Genomic DNA, 21,905 nt, shown 5'->3' on the forward strand with positions numbered 1-21,905 from the left:
TCCAGGAAATGGAGAGTTCTGGGAACAGTTGCTCATTTCCCACTCCTTGGCTGGTTTGATTATCACACTTGAAATACAGCTACTCATCTTGGCAATTCTCCTACGTTAGGAAAAGCCCAGGACTACTTTACCACACAATTTTTACTTCATTTTTAAACCAAACATACACAGAAGGTAATACAATGTATCTTCTTCTAATTTATTTGCATTTAAATACTTCAAGATGTTGATTTCTAATAACCACTTCATGACCAACAAGACAGTCAAGATTTCTTTTATCAGGCTTTCTATTAGAAAAAGCATTTTGCCCATTTCCCACCACCCAAATAAATGTATTCAGAAAACAAGGGATCCGTTTATTTATATTTGAATCTCAGAGTCTCTGAAAAGTGAATGAGGCACACATTTGGCAAACCAAACTTAAGTTAGATTATGTGATTCAGGAAAATTTATAAATATAATGTACGGTGCTGACAATGGATTTCTCATATTCTACTTTTTCCTTTGAATTAACTCTGGTTTATTACATAAGTTTGTATATAGTATGCCAAATCAAAGGATTTAGGATTTAATACTAAAACAAATTAACAACCAACCAGATGTGTTTCTCAAGCCATGTTTTTCAGAAGACCTGATTCAAAGCCACCTGAGAGTCTGGTTAAAAAGGCAAATCCTGGGCCCCACACCTCTCCATCTACAGAATATATGGATGATGGGATCTTGGAGTATTCATTTTGTCAACTTAAATCTATAAATTTGGAAAAGGAAAGGAGACTTTATTTCTTGTAAAGGGTTATAGTCTGCAAAGTGACCATCCTGCAGCCTGGGAAGCATGTCTTTGGACAAGACCAGAGACAGGCACTTCAAAGGAGGAACGGTTGGTATAGGAGCTTTATGTTGAACAGGTTGGCTAAACATACATATTCAACAGGTTATAGAAGGCTACGAATATTCACAAAGGTGGTTCTGATGCATGTGTATAAAGCAAACATGCATGTAACATACAACCCATGTTCACTTTGAGGTGGAGACTTAACATTTAAATGTCTTACAATTAGGGCCTGTATGTCAAAAGGCCTTTTTAGGACACAGAGGCATGCAAGAGTGATCTCTTTAAACCAGCCAGAATCATCAGTCCATGGTTGGTGGTCTTCTTATTAGGAGAAAGTTACTGACATCAGTCTCTTGTCCGGTCAAAGCTGTAGTTATGGTTGATGGAACAGGGGATCAGTTAGCATCTGTGAACTGGATGAGTTGTAATTGTTTTAATATTGCTTATCTTGAGACCAGTCCTTATTTAACTGCTAGAGAAGAAAAAAAAAAAACCCTGTGGCAGTTAGAACATAGTTTATTCTTTAAGTGTAGGGGTGCATGATTTACCCCTTGCCTAGCATGGTTTCAGGTCCTGTATATAATTTCATATCTCATTGCCACAAAGAGTCTGTTCTGTCAGTCTTATGATCTCTACTTTAACATTAGTGCTGGTCAGTTGTTGTGTCTAAACGCCAAAAGAGAGGAGGTATAATGAGTTGTGTCTAACCTCCTGTCCCATTGTGGCTGGGAACTCAATTTTAAGATTTTTCTGGAGTCCCCTTGGCTACAAGAGGGCCCATTCAGTCAGTAGGGGCTTAGGATTTTAAGTTTACAACTTTAACAAAGTCATTACTCCCTACAGGTTAAGACCTACAGGACTAGAATAAGACATTTTTGCCCTTATATCAGAAGGATGATACCTTCTTTATAGTATTTTTCCCAAGATCCTATGTGCCTATATTGTTTTACGAAATGAAGGGGGAAAATCCCACAAGAGAAAAAAATATCTAAATCGAGACTCATGAGGCCTGATTTTAACTCCAGTTTTGACAATTATGACCTGGAGCATGCCACTTAACCTCTTTGGGAGTCACTCTTGTCATCTGCAAAAAAAAAAAAAAAAAAAAAAAAAGGACTTAGAACAAGATGTCTCTCTACTTCACTTCTAACTTTGATGGTCCCTGGTTCTAATAGTCTAAATTAATATCTTTGGGTATATCCTTTTGTAAATTGTTGACTCACCCAGAGAACTTGGATGCACCCAATCTTCCTAGATAATGTTTCCTTTCTTGGAAATTATTAATTCTGTCCAGCATTTTTAACAGTTGTCTCTACCTTATTTCAAGTCCCAGTATTTCATTCAGAATTGTTATTGCAGGGAAGACCCTGGAAACTTATGAGGAGATTACTGAAGAAATAAGCTATTACAATTTTTGCCTTGCTCTTGGTTTGGAGGTAGCAAATTCATGTACAAAGGCTGCTTCTGGGAAATGTAGCTACCAAGTTTCTTTAATTCAGCATCTGGCCAAAGATGTTTCCCAAAACTGTAGTCCATGAAATGTTCTCTAAGTTTTTAAATGTAAAATAAGTATAGGAAATTCTGCAAAACATCCTCTGAGAGAGACTTAATATCCATTAGCATATTAAAAAGTTGTGAGAAAATATGTAGTAAAAATAAATACACAAATAAATATTTTAAAAACTTTTTTTTACACAGGGGTTTGCTTGATATTCACTTGATCACAGATTCCTTATCATGAGTAACATCCTGGAGAACCAGTGTTTTATGGAATATTTTGGAAAATGTAGTTTTGGTAAAATCCAGAAACCTAAACAAATTTTGCCATGAAAATAGATGATGGGGAACTTAAACATACATAAAATATAATAATTTGCCAGAAAGAGAATATTCATAAGAGTGAGAAGGGCCCAGCATTCAGTAAATGAGGCTTTCATTTTGATTCATGGTCAACATTAGCATTATGATGCCACAAGAGAATTACTCTACAAGTTAGAATATTATTGCAGTCTATTTTTCTCCTGCTTCATCTACATGAATAAATAAACAAACAGTGGCATTTTGAAAAGCATAGAGAAAAGAAATTAGTCAATACATCAAAATACTTGGATCTAATAATCACCTACTGTTTTAGTCTTTATGATTTACAAAAGCTGACAAATATATACATTTAAACAAGTGACCTTTAACCTTGAATTAGAGATATTTCTTCAGCAGTATATGACAAAGTTTCATACCTGTATGAAGAATTTTCTTTTGGATTGCTATCTTCTTTCTCAGGCAGCTTTCAAAAAATGGGTAAATCTTGTAGTTGTGCAATTTCCACTCATTTGCTGAGAATAGTTTTTCCATCACTTCCTTGCAATGAAATTTTAAAAATTTAAATCTATACCAAAAATCTCATTTAAAATTGAAATTATGCAATATTTATCTTAACTTGTGCAGATTTAAGATTAACTTCCTATTTATTAGTATTAAATCACTCTAAGTTTCTCTGTTTAAAAATGATAATGTTTCATATACTTCAATATATAAATTCCAAGGAAAAACTATTGAAAATTGTTTGCAATGAAGATGGATGCAGAAAATGAAATGTCTTTGAAATATCACTAAATGTCTTGGGGAAAGGATGATTATATATAGATATTCTTAAATATAATATATACTTTTAAATTACTAGTTCCTCCTCCATGCTTTCTCTGAGAGTGTTTGTCAAGTAAGCAAGCATGATTTTTTTTCTTCCTTCTTCTCAATCCAAGCTCTTAGGAAGAGATAAATAACGGAGTAGGGGTAGGGAAATAGTGATGCCACCTCAGACTTAATCAATGGCTCCTGATTCATGTCATTTATTTTACACACTAGGTGAAAACACATTGGTGATGGAGCCCCTACACATTCTATATCAAACTAATCCTTTATTTGAGACAAAGTATCCACAGTGATGACATTAGCATTGCTAGTATTCCACTGTACAGCCCACAGATAATGGGATACCAATTGTCTTAGTGCATTTTGTGTTGCTATGACAGAATACCATAGACTGGGTAATTTTGAAGATTCGAGATTTATTTCTTACAGTTCTGGAGGCTTGGGAGTCCAAGGCTGAGGAGTCTGCATCTGGCGAGGGTCTTCTTGCTGCATCATCCCACGGTAGAAAGCAGAAGGGCAAGAGGGCATAAGGAAGAAGGGGAAGGGGACTGAATTCATCCTTTTATCAGGAAGCCATTCCAGTGAGAACTAACCCACTCCTATGACAATGACATTAATCCATTCATGAGGGCACAGCCCTCATGACCTAATCATCTCTTAGAGGCATCACCTCTCAACATTATTGAATTGGGGATTAAATTTTCAACACATGAGCTTTGGGGGACACATTAAAACCACAGCACTGATTAAGTTTGTCTTTTGATTGAGGTTGGCAGTCTTAGATACACTGCATCTTGAAGAAGAACTGAATAAAGGTTAACTATAAAGAAGTTATTTGGGCATGCACACATTTGCTTACTTTGAGTTCAAATTTTGTTTTATATAATCTGAGTGCCTGACTTAGATCCTTTGCTATCATTTGCTTCCAGGGTCACAGCTTCTCCATTTCCAAGGGACAGACGGTGTCATTAGATATTGGGGTATGAGAAGGTGGCTTTGCTGAATTATTAGTTATAGATGTCAAGGAATATGAACAAGAGGATAAGATTTTCTTTGGAATCCTGAGATTTGCTTTCCAAAGGAAGTATATACAGTGTGTTCCCAAAATATAAAAATTTAAGACATCATCCCTGTTTGAAAGGAAATGTTACATATGCCCAGGGTCATGCCTTGTGAATAGGAAGCCCTGGCACTGAAAATTTCACTTTTTTCAGAGGCCTTTTTAAATAGATGAATGCCAGGCTACCTGTTCTCTCCAAAATCTAAGGTCACAGTTTGTTAATAAGGTTGCCATACTATTCAGTATTTATTTTATCTGAAATATTACCATTTCATTTCCTAGAATCCGTGCCCACTCTGTAACCAGTGGCATGCTTAACCTGATCTTTATCAAACTAATCCTATATTATCAGATGTATTTCTCTAGCTCTCCCAACATAAAAGGAATTATCCACAGTCTGGAATATGTGTTCCTTTTATTTCCCCCAAGTTTCTGACTCACGTTTGTTTATCATGCACATATGCCTCATTTAAGTGCATCCTTTAATCAAATATTCTGAGCAAATATTCCCACTTAAAACCCAGCAGGCGGCTTCCTGTTCCATAGATCTCCTGAATGCCAACAAAGTTTATAACATGCAGGGCTTTCCGCAGAGTGTATGAATTTGTGACTTGGGGCAAATATCCTAAACCCTATTAAAAAAAAGATTTCCTTGGCAAAAGAATACACTTATCTCAAGGAGAAAACTCCACGATTCTACTTGTCAACCAGCTCTGCAAATAGGATAATTACACACGTGGGATTTTTTTTTTTTTCTGCCTACAGTTGAAACTGGGTTTGCAAATGGCTCCTGGGTAAAAAGTATTCTATAGCACCTCCATCTCCCAGAATGAGTTCATTTAAGAGGTGCCAATGTATAGTTAACAGCACTGTAGTTTGGCTGAAGGAATCTTTGTGATGCTCAGTAAGAGTGGATTGACATGTGAAGCTTTCATGATTGAGTTATTCCTTCATCATGGGGCCTCTCTCATTCCCCCACATATTGAAAAGAATATAATTATTACATAAAAATTTGGAGCCATGTGCTAACAATATGTGCCATAATAAACCATGCATACATAAAGTCTCAAATAAGCAGGTACCCTCTCAGTGTCTAACTTTTCATATAAATGCCAGAATAAATTATCTGCTTCAGTGATAGAGCAAAGCACTTGAGGGTATTAACAAAAAGTATCCATCAGTGACATCATGTAATATGCTATATACATCACAGAATGACACCTTTAAAAAATATTATTGACTTTAGATGGGTGATGTGGCAGGTGCAAAGAAGGCAAAGAAATAAAGATGACATAATAAATAGATCCTAAAGGAAAGCTAAGATCAAAAATAAACTCCTGTACTTTTTTTAGAAAATCCATAGTGCAGCTGCTCTGGGGTGCCTGATTGCCTATATCTTTATCTGAATGCACAGAAAAAGGAAGCTGAGCTGTCACCCAAGGGAGTGCAGAGCTCAAAATACTAGTATCCTTGATATTCTAGGTCTCTCATGACCCTTGAAACTCTCCTAGGCCTTCTCATCATTTTTGGATAAAGTGCTTGCACTTGTACATGTCTCACAAAGATCTCTGTGTTTAGGTTCTTTACTACATCTGTCTGAGGTTGAGTTTCCAAGAAGCAGACCCTGTGCAAAAGAGATTTATTAAGAATAAGCAATCAGGGGAGACATATAAGAGAGTGAGGAAATGAGACAAAGAAGTGGGAAAGCCAAGCATCTATATTGTCAATTTCAACATCTTCATTCCACATCTCAAGCCACACCTTCCCACTCTATGTTCCAGCCTCGATGCCCCATTTGCCATTCCTCAAACCTTTTATTTCTGGTGCTTGGCACTTGCATTTCTCTCTACCATCCCTGCCTTTCCAACAGCTTACTCTCTACTCTGACTTCAGGTTAATGTCATTTCCTCTAGAAAGCCTCTCTTAAACTACAAATCCCAACCTTTCCTACGTGCTCAGTCTAGAGTCTATCTTGTGATTAGTTGCTTCTCTATTTCTTTCCATCCTAGACTAGTTCAAGAAGGTTAGGATTGAGCTTATCTCATTCTACATTGTATCTCCAACACGTGACAGTAGGTAGGTTGTCAATAGACATTTATCAAGTAAATTTAAAAATTGATAACACTAATCCTTAATCTCAGAATCTGTACCAATGCAAACTTGAATATTAAGAACTGAACTAAGTTATTATTATCTGCTAATTATTGTGATTCACTTAAAATTCATGAAGTCCCTCCATATGTATCATCTCATTTGACTCCTCACTGCATTTTCTTGAATAGAAAACAGCCAGAATTTTATCATTCTTGTTATTTAGGGGAAGAAAAAGTTATCCTGCTGCCAAATAGGACTTGGACAAACACTACCTTTCCTTATATATAACCTAGGATGGAGGGGAGTATAAGTCATTAGAAAATGACAACAGGGACACTCATTCCCCATCTGCAATACTTTATTGAATATATTTGTAACACAGCTGCTGCCCTTTCTATTACAGGTTGAATTGAATTTATCTTTGAAGCCCCAGGTTTTTGTGCACTTTCTGTTTATCTAGGAGCTTAATAAATATTTAATGTTGAGTAAGTGGATTTATTTACATGTAGACATGTATCACGCATTTATTATGCATAGGACACTGCGCTAAGTACAAAGTAGAGGGTGATTCAAAGGAGAATTGTTAACTTATCAGCATTCTAACCTGCAACTTTACTATCCCACCTTCTTCTACTTTACCACTATTTCAGTACCAATATCCCATTTATAAAAAGTTTTCTTTTCCATGCCTAATACCGAACATGGATGGATAGTGACATCTAACTTATCCAAATAGAATCCCTGGCCTAAGGCACTCTCCTACTCAGTGTCTGCAGTGTTCAGTAAATAAAACCAAAGGCGCATAAATCATACATGTTGATAATATTGGATATACCTGAATTGCCAGGGAGTTCTGACTGCTAAAGTAATTTCAGGTTCACTTCATGGTTATGGCCCATACTTCCTTCCAACCAGTGAGTCTGTGGTTGGGCATCTTCTGAAATTCTCCTCTTGAGCTTCATCTTCCAGCTTTACAAAAAAATTGAGTAGTTCTCAAGTACAGGATTCTCCCAGATTATGAGGCAGTGAACCAAAAATCTTTACAAAAGACTAGGGGGGCTAACTAAGGTATCCACTAATAGTGATGACCTTTATTTTTCTCTAGAGGGCCCGTGGTACAGGAGAACTCAGTTCACTGAGGAGGAAAAAGAAGTAGCTCTAGGCTTTATAAAAGAGGAGGTACTTGAATTTGGTATTGAGAGCAAATAGGTGTTCAATGAATGAAAAGGGGAATTTCAGATAGAGAACTGTCCATGTCTGGAAAGAACATTGCTAGTTTGGGGGATAATAAAAGATGAGTATCTCTAGAGGAAGTGAAAGGGATAAATCATAGAAGATAAGCCTACAGAATAAAGTTAGTTAAGGCCAGAATGTAAAGAAGATTATTGAAGCATAGATTTAACCACAGGTAACAGGAAGGCAATCAAGGTTTTTAAGCAGAAGAGGAGCATAATTACATAAGATTTCTAAGAAGATAACTCAAGATACCTTTCAAAGGATATACGAAAAAGGTAAGGGACCAGGGTTCCAGGACAATCATCCACAAAAGAGAGATGATGAAGGTTTGGGCTTAGGGAGTGGCAATGGGTTAGAAAACGGGCAAGATTCACAAGATAAACTTAAGGTAAAATTGCATCAGACAAGATGTAGCGGGTACAATAGAAAGAGTAATGTTTGACTCAAGGTTCCATTTTGAGCAACTGAGCAGACAGTGATTTTGTTTATTCATGTCAGGGACACACGAGGATATCTAATCTACAGTTGAAAATTTTAATCTGGAGCCAAGAACAGATACCAGAGCTATAAATGTAGGAATAGTAGTCATCATATAATGACAGTATTGCTAAGATCACCCAGTGAGAATGTGTAGAATAAATATAGAAGATGAATAAGAATAGGATTTCCATGAGCATGAACATTGAAAGAATAAGAGGAAGAGAAGGACTCAACAAGGGATACAGAGAAAGAGTGGTTAGAAAATCTGGAGGAGAACCAGAAAGAGATGCAGTCATTGATATTAAGGGAAGAGGGAGTTTTGCAGATGAGGAAAGCAACCACGACAAGTGCAGCAGGAATGTTGAGTAGAAAGAACAAGAGAGGTCATTGGATTTGACCACTGGGACATTTTTGACCTTAGCAAGGCCAATTTCCCTAGAGTGGTGATACAAAAGCCCATACTGAGTTGGTAGAGTAAATGAGATTTGAGAAAGTGGGGAAAAGTAAGTCTGTAGATTTATCGTTTAAAAGATTGGTGCCAAAGAGAAAGAGAGGGATTGAATACTAGATTACAGAATTTGAGGGAAAGGAGGTTTTTTTTTTTTTAAAATTAAGATGAGAAGGGTACATTTGTAGAATAAAGGAAAGGGAGACTGAAAGTACGAGTGAGATAGAGGATAATTGATGGAGGAGAGTTCTGGAAGGAGCAGGAGGAATCAATCTCATAAGGAAGATGAAGAGATTACCTTTGCACTGAAGGAGGAATACCATTTCCTTACTCTGATAATAAGTTTTACAGGTGGAGGGGAAGGTAGTCAGATAAGTTCACATCCAATGATCTGTATTTTCTTGGTGAAGTAGTATTCTGTCATCTGCCACAGAAGGGCTGCTGCCACAAGCATGGGCTGGTCCTGGGCACAGTCACCATGAAGCTAAAAAAGAGCATCAGGCCCTTGATGCTTTGATACCTGCCATCTTTGCCGCCAGGACAGACCACAAAGATTCAAAAAGCATTTAAAAATTTTAAACACATCATGAAAACAGACTTTTCTAAAAAAAATTTATACTTCTCAGTTGGCTTATTGAGTAGGAAGATATTTTATGTATTTCAAACATATGTCCCAGAAGATCAAGCCAGAAGGTATTATGCACAATTCTCAGACAAAAGATGAACAGAAGTAAAGGGACTTAGTGTCCAAGTTATCCATCAGCTCACTTCTTAGCCAGTGCTTTATTCCTCACTGCACCCATGCGTATATTTCACACCATTTTCATTGTAGGAACTCAGAAATTGTTAATAATAACATTGTTGGTTTATATTAATGAGTCCTTACTATGTGTCAAGCATTTAAGCACTTTGCATATTAACTCATTTAATCCTTCCAATAACCTTACAGAGAAGGTTATTATCATCCCTATTTCACAGATTACAAAATAGAACAGAAATTGTATTTGGTTGCTTATGGTCATACAGCTAGTAAGAGTGCAGAAATGGCTTTTGATTCCAGGCAGTCTAGCATGAGTCTGCCCTCAGTGCTATTAGTGGGATAGTAAAAACCTTAAAGATTTGTGTTGTTATACACCAAGCCTATAATCATTTCTTAATTACAGCCATGCTAGGGGCTTGTGAATCTGGAGGCATGCCTAAGGATGTGTTTATTATTTAACTTTACATCCTCAGATTTGAGCACATTAATAATCCTCCATAAATATTTGATGAATAATCAAATGAATGAGCAAAGATGATTTCTCTCCAATCACCCAACAGCTTTCTGCTTGGGATGTATTGGAACTAGATTGTAGATCGTGGGGTGGAGGTATGGTAAAGAACAGTTGGTGGCTAAGGAAAACAGAAGAGATACAGGGACTACTTCCTCCATGGGCTACACATTACATGACTTTGTCTCTGACTAACGGCATTTTGTAAACTTTTTTTTACATCTTTGAGTGCAAATTTGTGATGTACTTAAACATATTTCAAGAAAATGCTATGATATACCAAAAACATGCCCTTTCATATGAGATTTTATCTAGTCCTATAGTTTGCTTCTAAATAGAGTTTTTCTCCGGACCCTAGGAATGTTTTCATTTAACAATCTCAAATCATTTGGGCATAGTGAGAGAAAACTGTAAGTCTGAGACATGAAGTCTATAATTTATTCTCTTATTACTTTCCAACACACATGAAGAGCCCAAGCTTGCTCAGGGAATAGGAAAGGGAAAAGTCTGGGGGCTGCTTGCTGGGATGATGTTCCTTCAGAACTAAGGAGAATGCTCTCTGAAATAATTTACTTGTTCTTTTCTTAAGCAGAGGAAGTACTTGCTGCTTATGTACAAATTCAAGTTAACTTTGTAGTAAGGTACAAATTAATTACAAAGTATTTATGAGGGACATTTATGATGTGCCTAACGTATAGCAACTTTGAGAACTTACAGAAGCAGTGACAGGCAACTTTTGTCCTTTAGCAATGCATCATCTTCCTCAGCAAATGAAATAACAGACATAAAACAAGTCTGAGCAACAGAAGCCAACTCCTCTCTATATAATTGTACAGCTATATATGGAATTATGTCATGGAGATTAGAAGTTCTGAATAAGGGGAATTGATAATGGCCGAAGTGTAAGGAAGAGGTGGAAAATGACGTGAAGACTTGGAGTATGGGTGGGGTATGCAAAGGCAATGTGTTCCTCATGATGTGCCCAACAACATGTTAAGTGTGTCATATGCATGCTCTCATTTGTTCTCTACAAAATTGATAAGTACTACTGTTAACGATATCCTTTTTCCAAATCCAGAAGCTAATGTTCAGAATCCTTAGAGCTGGCAAGCTGTGAGAGACAGAGAAGCTGGTCAAATCTAGGCAGTCTGGTGCTGAGGCCCACATACTCAGCAACTGTACTACACCTTATGGTGGCCTAGGCAGGCTAATCGTGTCTGCGTTTGCAAATATACAGGTCATATGACTGGAGATGAATGTTTTGAGAGGTATGCATCAACCCAAGCCAATACCCCAAAAGACTCTTAGTAGGATTCTTCCCCTTTGACCTGGCAGACCTTCTACCTCCATTGCCTGAGGGTAGGAGAATGAGGCCATTTCTCATCAGAGGGCTTGCTTTTCTATAGTACTGCTCTATTGTGTCTGGTACAACACACAAAATTAGAGACTCTTTAAAGCCTCAACAAACCTTGTCTCTAGCATGAAAAGATCATGGGTAAAAACCCTATTCTGTTTCATTAGCAACTCTCATGTCCTCAAATTATAACCCTCTCAAGGTCCCAAGGTGATGTCACTGTCTATTATCATGAGCACACAGGCAATGATGGTGTCTAGTGGGAGAATGACCTCCTCAATTTCAAGTGTGAACTCAACTATGATGAATGAGAGGAGGCCGTGTGGCTTCTTCAATCTTGGAGGGACAACCGTATTCGGCTTATTATCAGAGATTGTCTCACATTGAGATGGAGGTAGAAATATGTAATATCAAAATCCGGACATAGAACAGTTTCTCCATCACCTCAAGACTGTCTAACAATACAAAATGTGGTGGCCTTCAAATCAGAGAAAGGATATGCAATAAAGAGCAATTATGCAGATTCAGCCTTCAATTGCTGATTATACTTTGGCTAGTGATATATACTCACTATGAAATAGAGCCATATCTTCCCCCTCCTCTGCACATGAAGAGATACATCAATCCCTTGCAAAGAACCTCTGCTCTCCTTTCCCTTTCTCTTTTTCTCATGCACAATTTGTTGCCTCCTCTGCCATGTTCCCTTAAACACTATTGTTATTATCACATGACATTGTAATTAGTCTAATCCATGTCTTTCTGCCTTGATAGATGATGGCTTTTTTTTAATGCAAAGATTCAGTACATTTTGGTATTCCCAGGAGCTTACAAGGCATCAGTGTCTGTGTCTTTCCCATATCCCCGGTCCCTTACCACATCAACCTGACTTCTACATGGTAGCAGCTGCATTTCTTCGTTGAGGGCATTCTCTGATCCAAGCCATTTTGCCCACCCTTGTGGCAGACCAGAATTAAAGGTGAATTAGTGTCTCCTGAGAGTACTCTCATCCAATGACTGGTGGAAATCAATTTAACATACACCAGCTCCTTCTCCCCTTGGGCAGAATAGCTCTGAGGAGTCCTTCTATACTGGCTTCCAGAGTTGCTCATGGGACAAGGCTTCATTTGCCATCAGAAAATAATGGACTTATTAACACACCTTTTATTGTTTGCCTAACCTGTCTTACTTCCCGACGTCTCATCCAGCATATTACTTACATCCCTAACAAATGACTTTCACCTAAATCCTTGACTCGAGGAGAACACAAACTACGTAAGCACCCAATATACAGAAGGACTTCAATAAATGTCCTTTTAATAAAATTGAATTACAAAGATGCATAGTGTAGCATGAGATAAAACGTGGAAGTGCTATGCTACGTAAGTGCTGGGAGCCTATCAGTCAAATTTGAGCACTTGTAAACACAACAAGCACCATGATTTCAGGATTTCCCTTTGCAGTGGGAAGGCGGCTGTCCTAGTTGTTAGTAGAGAAGAGTACATTATCGGAAGCTCTGGCTTCTATTTTTAGACCTCTTGCTGACATAGAAAACCTGTTTCCTAACAGTACTGTAGTGACCTTCCCACCCTCAGAGAAATGGTGCAGAATGCCTAAGGAAGAAACAAGTCCCCATTTGTGGAAGCCACAGAGGAACAGAGGAGGGAAATGAGAGCTTAGGTACTATTCGTTGGCAGACATGGTGCTTTAAGATCTCTTTTGACAGCTAAATAGAAAGTGCTGGGTTGCCTGGCAGTGCAGTGGCCTTGAACAGGATTTAGGTCTCCAAGCTGCTAAAGCTTGGCTCTGAGCCCAAGATGTCCAAAGAGCAATAATCTCTTTCTTTTTTAAAAACCTCACATGAAAAAATAATTTTCCAAAATAAGGTAAAATCATGACTCTTACACAGTTATATAATTAATACATGTTAAAGATTTTATTTAACTCATTAGTCAATGAGGGAACCAGGCAGATGGTATAATCAGTTCAAAAAAAACCTCAAAGAACAGACACATCTATAGATAAAAATATTGAAATAAATGTGCAAATGGAGGCAAAATTAGCCTCTTCCACAGTGGGGGAAGGAAGTCACTTGAACCTCTACAGGACAGAATTTCCATACCTATAAGCAAGGGATATTTTGTATTACTATTAGTTATATAATTTGCAGAGTTTTAAAATAGCTCCCATAGAATCAGAGTCTGATAACACTGAAAGGTATGCTGTATGGACAATGTATAGTTTTTTACTGAAGCATAATTTTTCCCTACACTCACGATCGTTTGATTTAATAATGCAATATTTCTCCAATAAGGGGGAATTAGACTTTTTACTAGAGCTTACTTATACTTTTAAAATCCAGCTCATTTTCTTAACACTGTGTATAGGGATGAGAGTAATCAAATGCAGGGCAGAGATACTATGCTTGAGAAAAGTACATCTGATTGTTAAGAAAAAGATCTCAAGGTTTAGGAGGAAGATCCTTCCTTGATAGGGGAAGGAAAGAGATGGTAACAGAAAAGAAGTAGCTGATATTTCACATTTACATTATCTCATTCAGTTCTCCCAATGAACTTGAGAGTTAGGTGAAGATATTTCTCCTTTTATAAGATGAGGAAATGGGAGCCCAGAGTAATTAAGTAGCCTACATAGGGTCATACAAATAGTATATAGTAGAGCCAGGATTTAAACCCAGTCTTTTTAGCCCTGAAGTTTATGATTTTCTTCCATTATGCCATACTGTACTGGTAAAGGATGATGTTAGGATGGAGGGCAACGGTTAAGACTTTCCTGATCCCCACCTCAAACAGGGCAGTTCAGCAGTGGTATCGAAGAAGCATGTAGCAGTGTTTCTCATTGGTGATTGTCATATTTTTGTCATAATTTTCTCATTCTGTTGAGTGCTCTGGAGAGATAAACAGAATTGGCTTCTGATCTCATAGGTTTAGCTTAAACATTTGATTTAAATGAATTACTTTTTGAATGAATTACTTTTTGAAGCTGAAGAAATGAAGGCCGATTAACTGGGTTAAAATGCCTTAAAAGTTGTTCTGAATCAGATTTCCTGGGATGCCACTAAAAGTTCCTTACATAAAAATGGCTTATATTCTTATTAATAGCATTTATTGAACATTTACTGAATGCCTACTATGTGCTCAGTACTATATTAAGTGCCAAGGGAACACTACAGTGAATCGGGTAAAATCCATGCCCTGTCCAGAGCAAACTAGAAAAGATTAGACACATATAAAAGTCGACCATAATACAATAAGATAAGGGTTATAGGGTTATAGGAATGCTAGGAAAGATGATATTCATATAGGGAGAATCATGCAAAATTTCATCAATTAGGTATCATTTGGCTTTGGAGGATAAGTTTTTAACTTGGAAACAAATGTGTATATGTGTGTGTATCCTATCAGCCAATTCCATTATCATAACTCCAAACATAGTATAGTTTCTTCTTAAAAATTATTAATGCAAAAAATTCTATTTCCAATTTGTCAGGGCCTAACAAGTTGGTGAACTTGTTATTCATAGTAGAGGATTCAATTAACATGAGAGAAAGTCATCTTTAATTCTATTTTTGTTACTTCCTAAAAGGAAAGGATATGTCATTTAGGTTCATGAAAAATTCTCAGGTCTTTATATTTCAAAACTAATTCCAAATGGCATTCAAAATCATTTTCTTCTAAGGCTAAATGGCTCTTTATTTATTATTCACCCCAATCCCAAATAGCAAGAATCCCATGTTTTCCAGCAATTCTTTGATGACATTTTATTATAGCATAAATAGAAATATATGTAAATTATTCTTACAAATTGTTCTCAACCTGAAGGTTCCATTTAGCCTCTGAGATCTTTAAAATAGGAAATGAAGCTTGTTACCACAAGCAAAGTGTTCTGAATCTCCCAAAACATAAACTGTTCACTTTAAGGTCACTATGATCCCGCAATGAACAAAAAAGCAGCAGTTCACTTGTATTAGAAAAGGCTTAGTAAAAATGCCCTCTCTGTGATGCTTGGTTGGGCAGACACGTTTTGTTTCATCTGACATTTCTTGCAGAGTGACTCAAGAGCTATTCAGCAAATTGTTTCTGACTTGTCCTTAATGCCTGATTTTCTTTTATTTAGCACCACAATTTACCATCTACTTGTAGGTCATAAGTAGTAGAAGACCAAGTATATACTAGACACATAATGGGTACTCAATAAATATTTGTTGATTTAATAAGCGACTGAGGATTTGTAACATGAAAATACACAGAATTCAGCAAATGTCTGCAAATTCAGTTTTCTGATTAACAAACTCAACAAACGAGTATAAGTTCTATTATACTGCCATGTCTTCACCTAAAGTATTTCTTTTTTTTTTTTTTTTTTTTTTTTTTTTTTTGAGACGGAGTCTCGCTCTGTCGCCCAGGCTGGAGTGCAGTGGCGCGATCTCGGCTCACTGTAAGCTCCGCCTCCTGGGTTCACGCCATTCTCCTGCCTCAGCCTCCCGAGTAGCTGGGACTACAGGCGCCCACCACCACGCCCGGCTAATTTTTTGTATTTTTAGTAGAGATGGGGTTTCACCATGTTAGCCAGGGTGGTCTTGATCTCCTGACCTCGTGATCCGCCCGCCTCGGCCTCCCAAAGTGCTGGGATTACAGGCATAAGCCACTGTGCCCGGCCCACCTAAAGTATTTCTAAATATTTTTTAAAATCCACACTCTTTGCTGAAACATGTGAGACTTTTTCATAAGAAAGCCATATGACCAAGAAATATTTTAATATGATACTAGCATTTGTTTGGTGAAGCAGAAGAGTAAACTGAAGCTCATTTCATTATTACATAAAATGTGATCTTTGTTAAATAAACTTCCTACTCATCCTGCAATTTTACCTTCTTTTTATAATTTAGTGGTTATCAACTGGGGAGATTTTGTCTCACAGAGGACATTTGGCAATGTTTAGACACATTTCTGATTGTCACAACAGGGGGTGTGGGAGAAGTGGTGCTACTGGCATCTAGTGGGTAGAGGAGGGGGATGCTGCTACACACCCTGCAACGCACAGAACAACTCCTAACAAAAGAGAATGATTTAGTCCAAAATGCCAATAGTCCCAAGGTAGAGAAAGCCTATTTTAAAAAAAGAAGCTGGCTGCAATAATCTCAAATTCATGATGGCTACATGGGTTTTCCAGACATGAAGAATGTTTATGCATAATTCCCAGAAACAAGAAAGGTATAAAAGGTGGTTGGGTCCTGCCAAGAAGTCCTGTAAAGCTAAGAAGAAAAAACAAAACAAAACAAAGTTTACAGAGAAAAGAGAATGGAAATAGGATAAGATGGGCATTATTTCAGTAAAGATTGGCATAGAGGATATTGGAAGATCTAAGTTGTAGTCTCCAAGATTTCAGTTTATATTAAAATGGGTTTGACAATGTATTTCCTACACAGGCATATTTTTACAATCCAATGAACGCACAATAATGATAGTAATACTACTACCATTACTATAAATAACAGTAACTACGATCTATTAAGGAACCATTACATGCCTTCCATACATTATTACTAATTATCACAATTATCATCAAAGTAAGCATCATTATTTCTATTCTGCAGAATTAACAGGCTCAGAGAATTTTTGGCAGCTGTTTAAAGTTGACAGGTGGTAATAATCAGAGTTAGTGTTAAAGATAAAACAGACTAGTAGCCACCATACTTCAAATATATCTTTAAGTAGTATGACCCAAATTCCAGGTTTTCTCAGGACTGCCCTGGTTTCTGCCTGATTTTCCTGTATAATTATTAATAGCACTCACTTTCTCTTAAAAGTGATCACTCTTTATGAGATGATGGATTCTCTCTTTTCTCTTTAAACTGGAGAAATCCACATCAGGCAAATATAGAAACTTGCTGGCATTCTCAAAGCCCTTTGACATGTATCTGAGCCATGTGTTTATTTGTCCATTTACTTATCCTTGTGTGGGAGCAGTTGACAACTGGTGGCCATTTGTGGGAAGGACTCACAGAAGATGCTATTTGGTTCTTGATATTTAAGCTACCTTAGGTGTTAATTAATTGCTTTGTCTAGAATTTTTTTTTTTTTTTCTGAGACAGAGTCTCACTCTGTTGTCCAGGTTGGAGTGCAGTGGCATGATCTCAGCTCACTGCAAACTCCACCTCCCAAGCTCAAGTGATTCTCCTGCCTCAGCTTCCCAAGTAGCTGGGATTACAGGTGCCCACCACCATGCCAGGCTAATTTTTGTATTTTTAGTAGAGACGGGGTTTCGCCATGTTGACCAGGCTGGTCTCGAACTCCTGACTTCAGGTGATCTGCCCACCTCTGCCTCTCAAAGTGCTGGGATTACAGGCGTGAGCCACCACAACCCATCTGTATGGCAATTTTCTAATTTCTATCAACATGGCTTGTCCAAAGCAAATGGTTTTTGATGAGTCCAAAGCTGTCTCATCAGGCTGTGGGAATCTGTAAACATCCAGCATGTTTACTTCTCTGAATGTTTTACCCTTTGCACAAACCTGGAATGTCAGCAAACAAGCTGAATGCAGTAAGACTGGTAAAACCATTTGCGTATGAGTTGAGCAGAAGAATCGATACATAATTTACGGTGAATTTTCAAGGAGATTAAAACAGCACAGTGGCAGTGGGTTAGATTGTGGGGCCATTTCTTTTTTTTTTTTTTTTTTTTTTTTTTTTTTGAGATGGAGTCTTGCTCTGTCACCAGGCTGGAGTGCAGTGGCTGCAACCTCCACCCCACTGGGTTCAAGCGATTCTCCTGCCTCAGCCTCCCGAGTAGCTGGGACTACAGGCGCCCGCCACCACGCCTGGCTAATGTTTGTATTTTTTTAGTAGAGACGGAGTTTTGCCATGTTGACCAGGCTGGTCTCAAACTCCTGTCCTCAGGTGATCCACCCACCTTGGCCTCCCAAAGTGCTGGGATTATAGACATGAGCCACCGCACCCAGCTTTTTTTGTTTGTTTGTTTTTGTTTGAGATGGAGTTTCACTCTTGTTGCCCAGGCTGGATTGCAATGGCACGATCTCGACTCACAGCAACCTCCGCCTCGATTGTGGGGCCATTTCTAATTACAATCATGACATTTAAAAAATTTCTCTATTCTTTCAGATTAAATGACTTAAATTCTCTCTCATAAAGGGAGTGCCATGAAGAAAAGTCATTCCCTCTCCCTTGTGATCCTCCTATCCTCCAAGGCTCTCTCTTTCATGGGCATCAAAGCACCATGCAACGCAGGAAGCCATAATAAGAAACAGTGCTTACTCATGTTCAGATATCAAGGCTCTGACCCTTAACTCTACATCTTCCTGCTTCTTCTGTGTGCTTTATTTTCCCCCTTTGTCTATTGAGCTAATGGCAAGAATCTTTATGCTAGACAAAATCTTTTTATTCTAAAGGAAATTTAATTTCTGTATATGTCAAGCCCATATATTTCATATTCTATTCCCATCCAAGGGCCACACATTAAAACAATTGTGGTACTTGAAGACACATTAAGTTATTTATGTGAAATTGCAAAGTGAAAATGCCACTTTTTTCTATTTGTGACAAGAGAGAAAAATAATATCATTTCCATCTTGGAACTCAAAGATTTCCCTCTGTTCTCAAGTAGGCTTTTACCTTAAAAGGACGCTGGGAAATAACTAAGGAGAACTAACAAATAGTGACTAATTGTCTTGGTGTTACACAGGATACCCTATTATTTCCCAATGTTTATTTTTAAATAGAATCCATCACAATGCTTTTCAAAAAATAATATTTGGCCAGGTGTGGTGGTTCATGCCTATAATCCCAGCACTTCAGGAGGCTGAGGTGGGAGGACTGCTTGAGCCCAGGAGTTCAAGACCAGCCTGGGCAACACGGTGAGACCCCCGTCTCTACAAACAATACAAATTTAAAAATTAGCTGGGCGTGGTGGTGCATACCTGTGGTCCTAGCTACTTGGGAGCCTGAGGTAAAAGAGCAAGGCTGCAGTGAGCTGTGATAGTGCCACTGCACTCTAGCCTGGGGGACAGAGAGAGACCCTGTCTCAAAAAAAAAAAAAAAAAAAAAAAAAGAATAATAGTAACATTTATTGTGAACTTAGAAATCTGTGGTAAATACAAACATATATATATATACATACACACACATAACATTAACAAGTGTTTTAAAATATAGTCATTATGAATAATAGAAAACATTTTTGTTATCTAGGTTTTGAATATGCAAAATACAGAAGTCTCATGTATGTTTATGAGCGATGTAAGTCATTATAATAACTGAGTCGTATATATTAAGTATTTGTTGTCCATATTATCTGGCTTAGCCCTGTTTCACTTCCATACTACCTCCTAACGCTTGTGATAAATAGTGTTCTGATTCAGGCTTGATGGTTTTTCACCTGAGCCCACTCCAGTGCATCTGGCTCCGAGGCCATCATTTCCCATCCATTCTTTCTGCTATGACTTTGTTCATGCTACAGAGCACAATATCAAACTCATTGTAGATAGTCCTACAGGCAGTCCCTATGCTCTTCCATGTCCATGGTCAGTCCTCATTTCATCTATGGAAAGACCATGGAATTTATAATAATTCCTGTTGTTCTCTAGCCTCCTAGTCTGATTAGGAGCAGGGCCAGGCAAAGTTGGCTTACAGACCGAATCTGGCCTACCACCTGTTTTGTAAATAAAGTTTTACTGGAACACAGCCACACTCATTTATTTACATATTGTCTACAGCTATTTTCACTACAAAAGCAGAATTGAGTAGTTATGACAGAGGCCTTGTGGCCCACAAAGGCTAAACTATTTAATATCTGGCCCCTTAAAAAAATGATGTTGACTAGGGCACTGAGTTTTTAAGACAGCTCAGCCAGGAATTAATAACTTTGTCAAATCCAGTTACAAATAGAGCTTTTCAATCACATCCATAAGTTATATCTGCAGACTAGAGAATCATAAATTTAGTCTTAAACTTATAGATAACTGGGAAAAGTTAAGCTGACTTTACTGATTTTCCTCTTCTATTGCCTCTCTATCCTAGGTACCTACTCTGCAGCCCAAATAGAACATTTCTTCCTTGGCAGGAGCACAGAGTTTTATAATAGCCCTTTGATTGCCTTTAGTCCTTTGAATAGTTCTATTGTTATCATCTAACATATATATTGTTCAATAAGAATGTTTTAATTGAATTAATAAATGAAAAAATGTGGATCAGCATTTTCAAAGCTATGTTTTGCAGAATGCTTGCTATCTTTGAAATGTGTTCCACGAAAAGGATGGTCTATCTAAAAAACAAAAAAATCTATAGTCAAATAAGTTTGGGAAATAATGACACACACTATTTATTTTCAGGAACACCATAGTTCACATAGGTGTATTAAAGTTTTGGAGAAAGGGAGGGTGACATCAACAAAACGGCACAGTAGACAGCTCAAGCTCTCAAAAAGAGTAGAAACTGTCAGAACCAATTTTGTCAGAACTCTGGAAAACAGTCAAAAGTTTACAGCAACCAAATGTCCACAAAATCAAGAAAAAGGTAACTTCGAAATGGTAGGAAAGTTTTGTGGTATTCCCACTTGCCCTTGTCCCATTCCCTCCCTAGTATGGCAGTAGTTTTGGTTTAAAATTGGTAGCAGCCTACACTCCTAGTATGGGGCCCTGGTCCCTTGATCTGGAAGGAGTAGACCAAACCTTATTCACAAATTATTTTGTGTGTCTGTTCTAACCTTTCTATAGGCTACCAGAAGGACAAATGCAAGGAGTTTATATTTGTTTTCTAGGGCTACCATAACAAAATACCACAGACTGAGTGGTTTAAACAACAGAAATGTACTTTCTCACAGTTCTGAAGGCCAGAAGTCCAAAATCCAGATGTTGACAGGTTTGCTTTCTTTTGAGACTTCTCTCCCTGGCTTGTAGATATCTGCCTTCTCACTGCATTTTCACATGGTCGTTCCTCTGTGTAAACACATCCCTGGTGTCTCTTTTCTCCTTTTCTCATAAGGACACCAGTCATATCAGATTAGGGGCCAACCCTCACTTAAACTTAACTAACCCTTTATAGACCTTATCTCCAAATATGGTTACATTTTGAGGTACTGAGGGTTAAGGCATATGAATGTGGGGGGGACACAATTCAGCCTATGACAATGCTCATCTCTGTTTTTACCTAACTCAGGATGGAAAGGCAGTGAGTATTAATTAAAAAAATACTGCAAGTCAAACTAAAAATCTTAAAGGGCAAAATATTACAATTGAAATATACAATAGACCATCTAAAAGCTTGGAAGTGAAACTTAGAGTTTCTTAGGGAAATTAGGACATTCAAAATCGACCATGCATATGGCAAATTTAGAAAGCCACTGCATTTTCAGGGAAATATGTGTGCTCAGAAAAGACCCGAGCAAACCCTTAGCTTTCACCTTGGGCTGATCCCTAGATTCAGTTCAAGCCCAGCTAGTTGTTGAAGGGC

General features: G+C 37.7%; 1 protein-coding gene and 1 long non-coding RNA gene across 9 annotated transcripts in view; one reads left to right on the forward strand and one right to left on the reverse strand.

Annotated features, from left to right (window-relative positions):
* Positions 1-21,905, forward strand: part of GLRA2 (glycine receptor alpha 2) — a 283,034-nt gene that overhangs the window by 92,538 nt on the left and 168,591 nt on the right. The window lies entirely within an intron of this gene.
* Positions 179-15,756, reverse strand: LOC107985686 (uncharacterized). Of its 2 annotated transcripts, XR_001755803.3 has the most exons (3): positions 3,909-15,756; positions 3,070-3,190; positions 179-1,245 (listed from the first exon to the last, which is right to left on the reverse strand). It is a non-coding gene; the product is annotated as an uncharacterized LOC107985686 (long non-coding RNA). The 2 variants fall into 2 exon arrangements; XR_007068396.1 differs by having other exon boundaries at positions 3,070-15,756.

This window comes from Homo sapiens, chromosome X, assembly GCF_000001405.40.
Source record: "Homo sapiens chromosome X, GRCh38.p14 Primary Assembly".
Taxonomy (NCBI): Eukaryota; Metazoa; Chordata; class Mammalia; order Primates; family Hominidae; genus Homo; species Homo sapiens.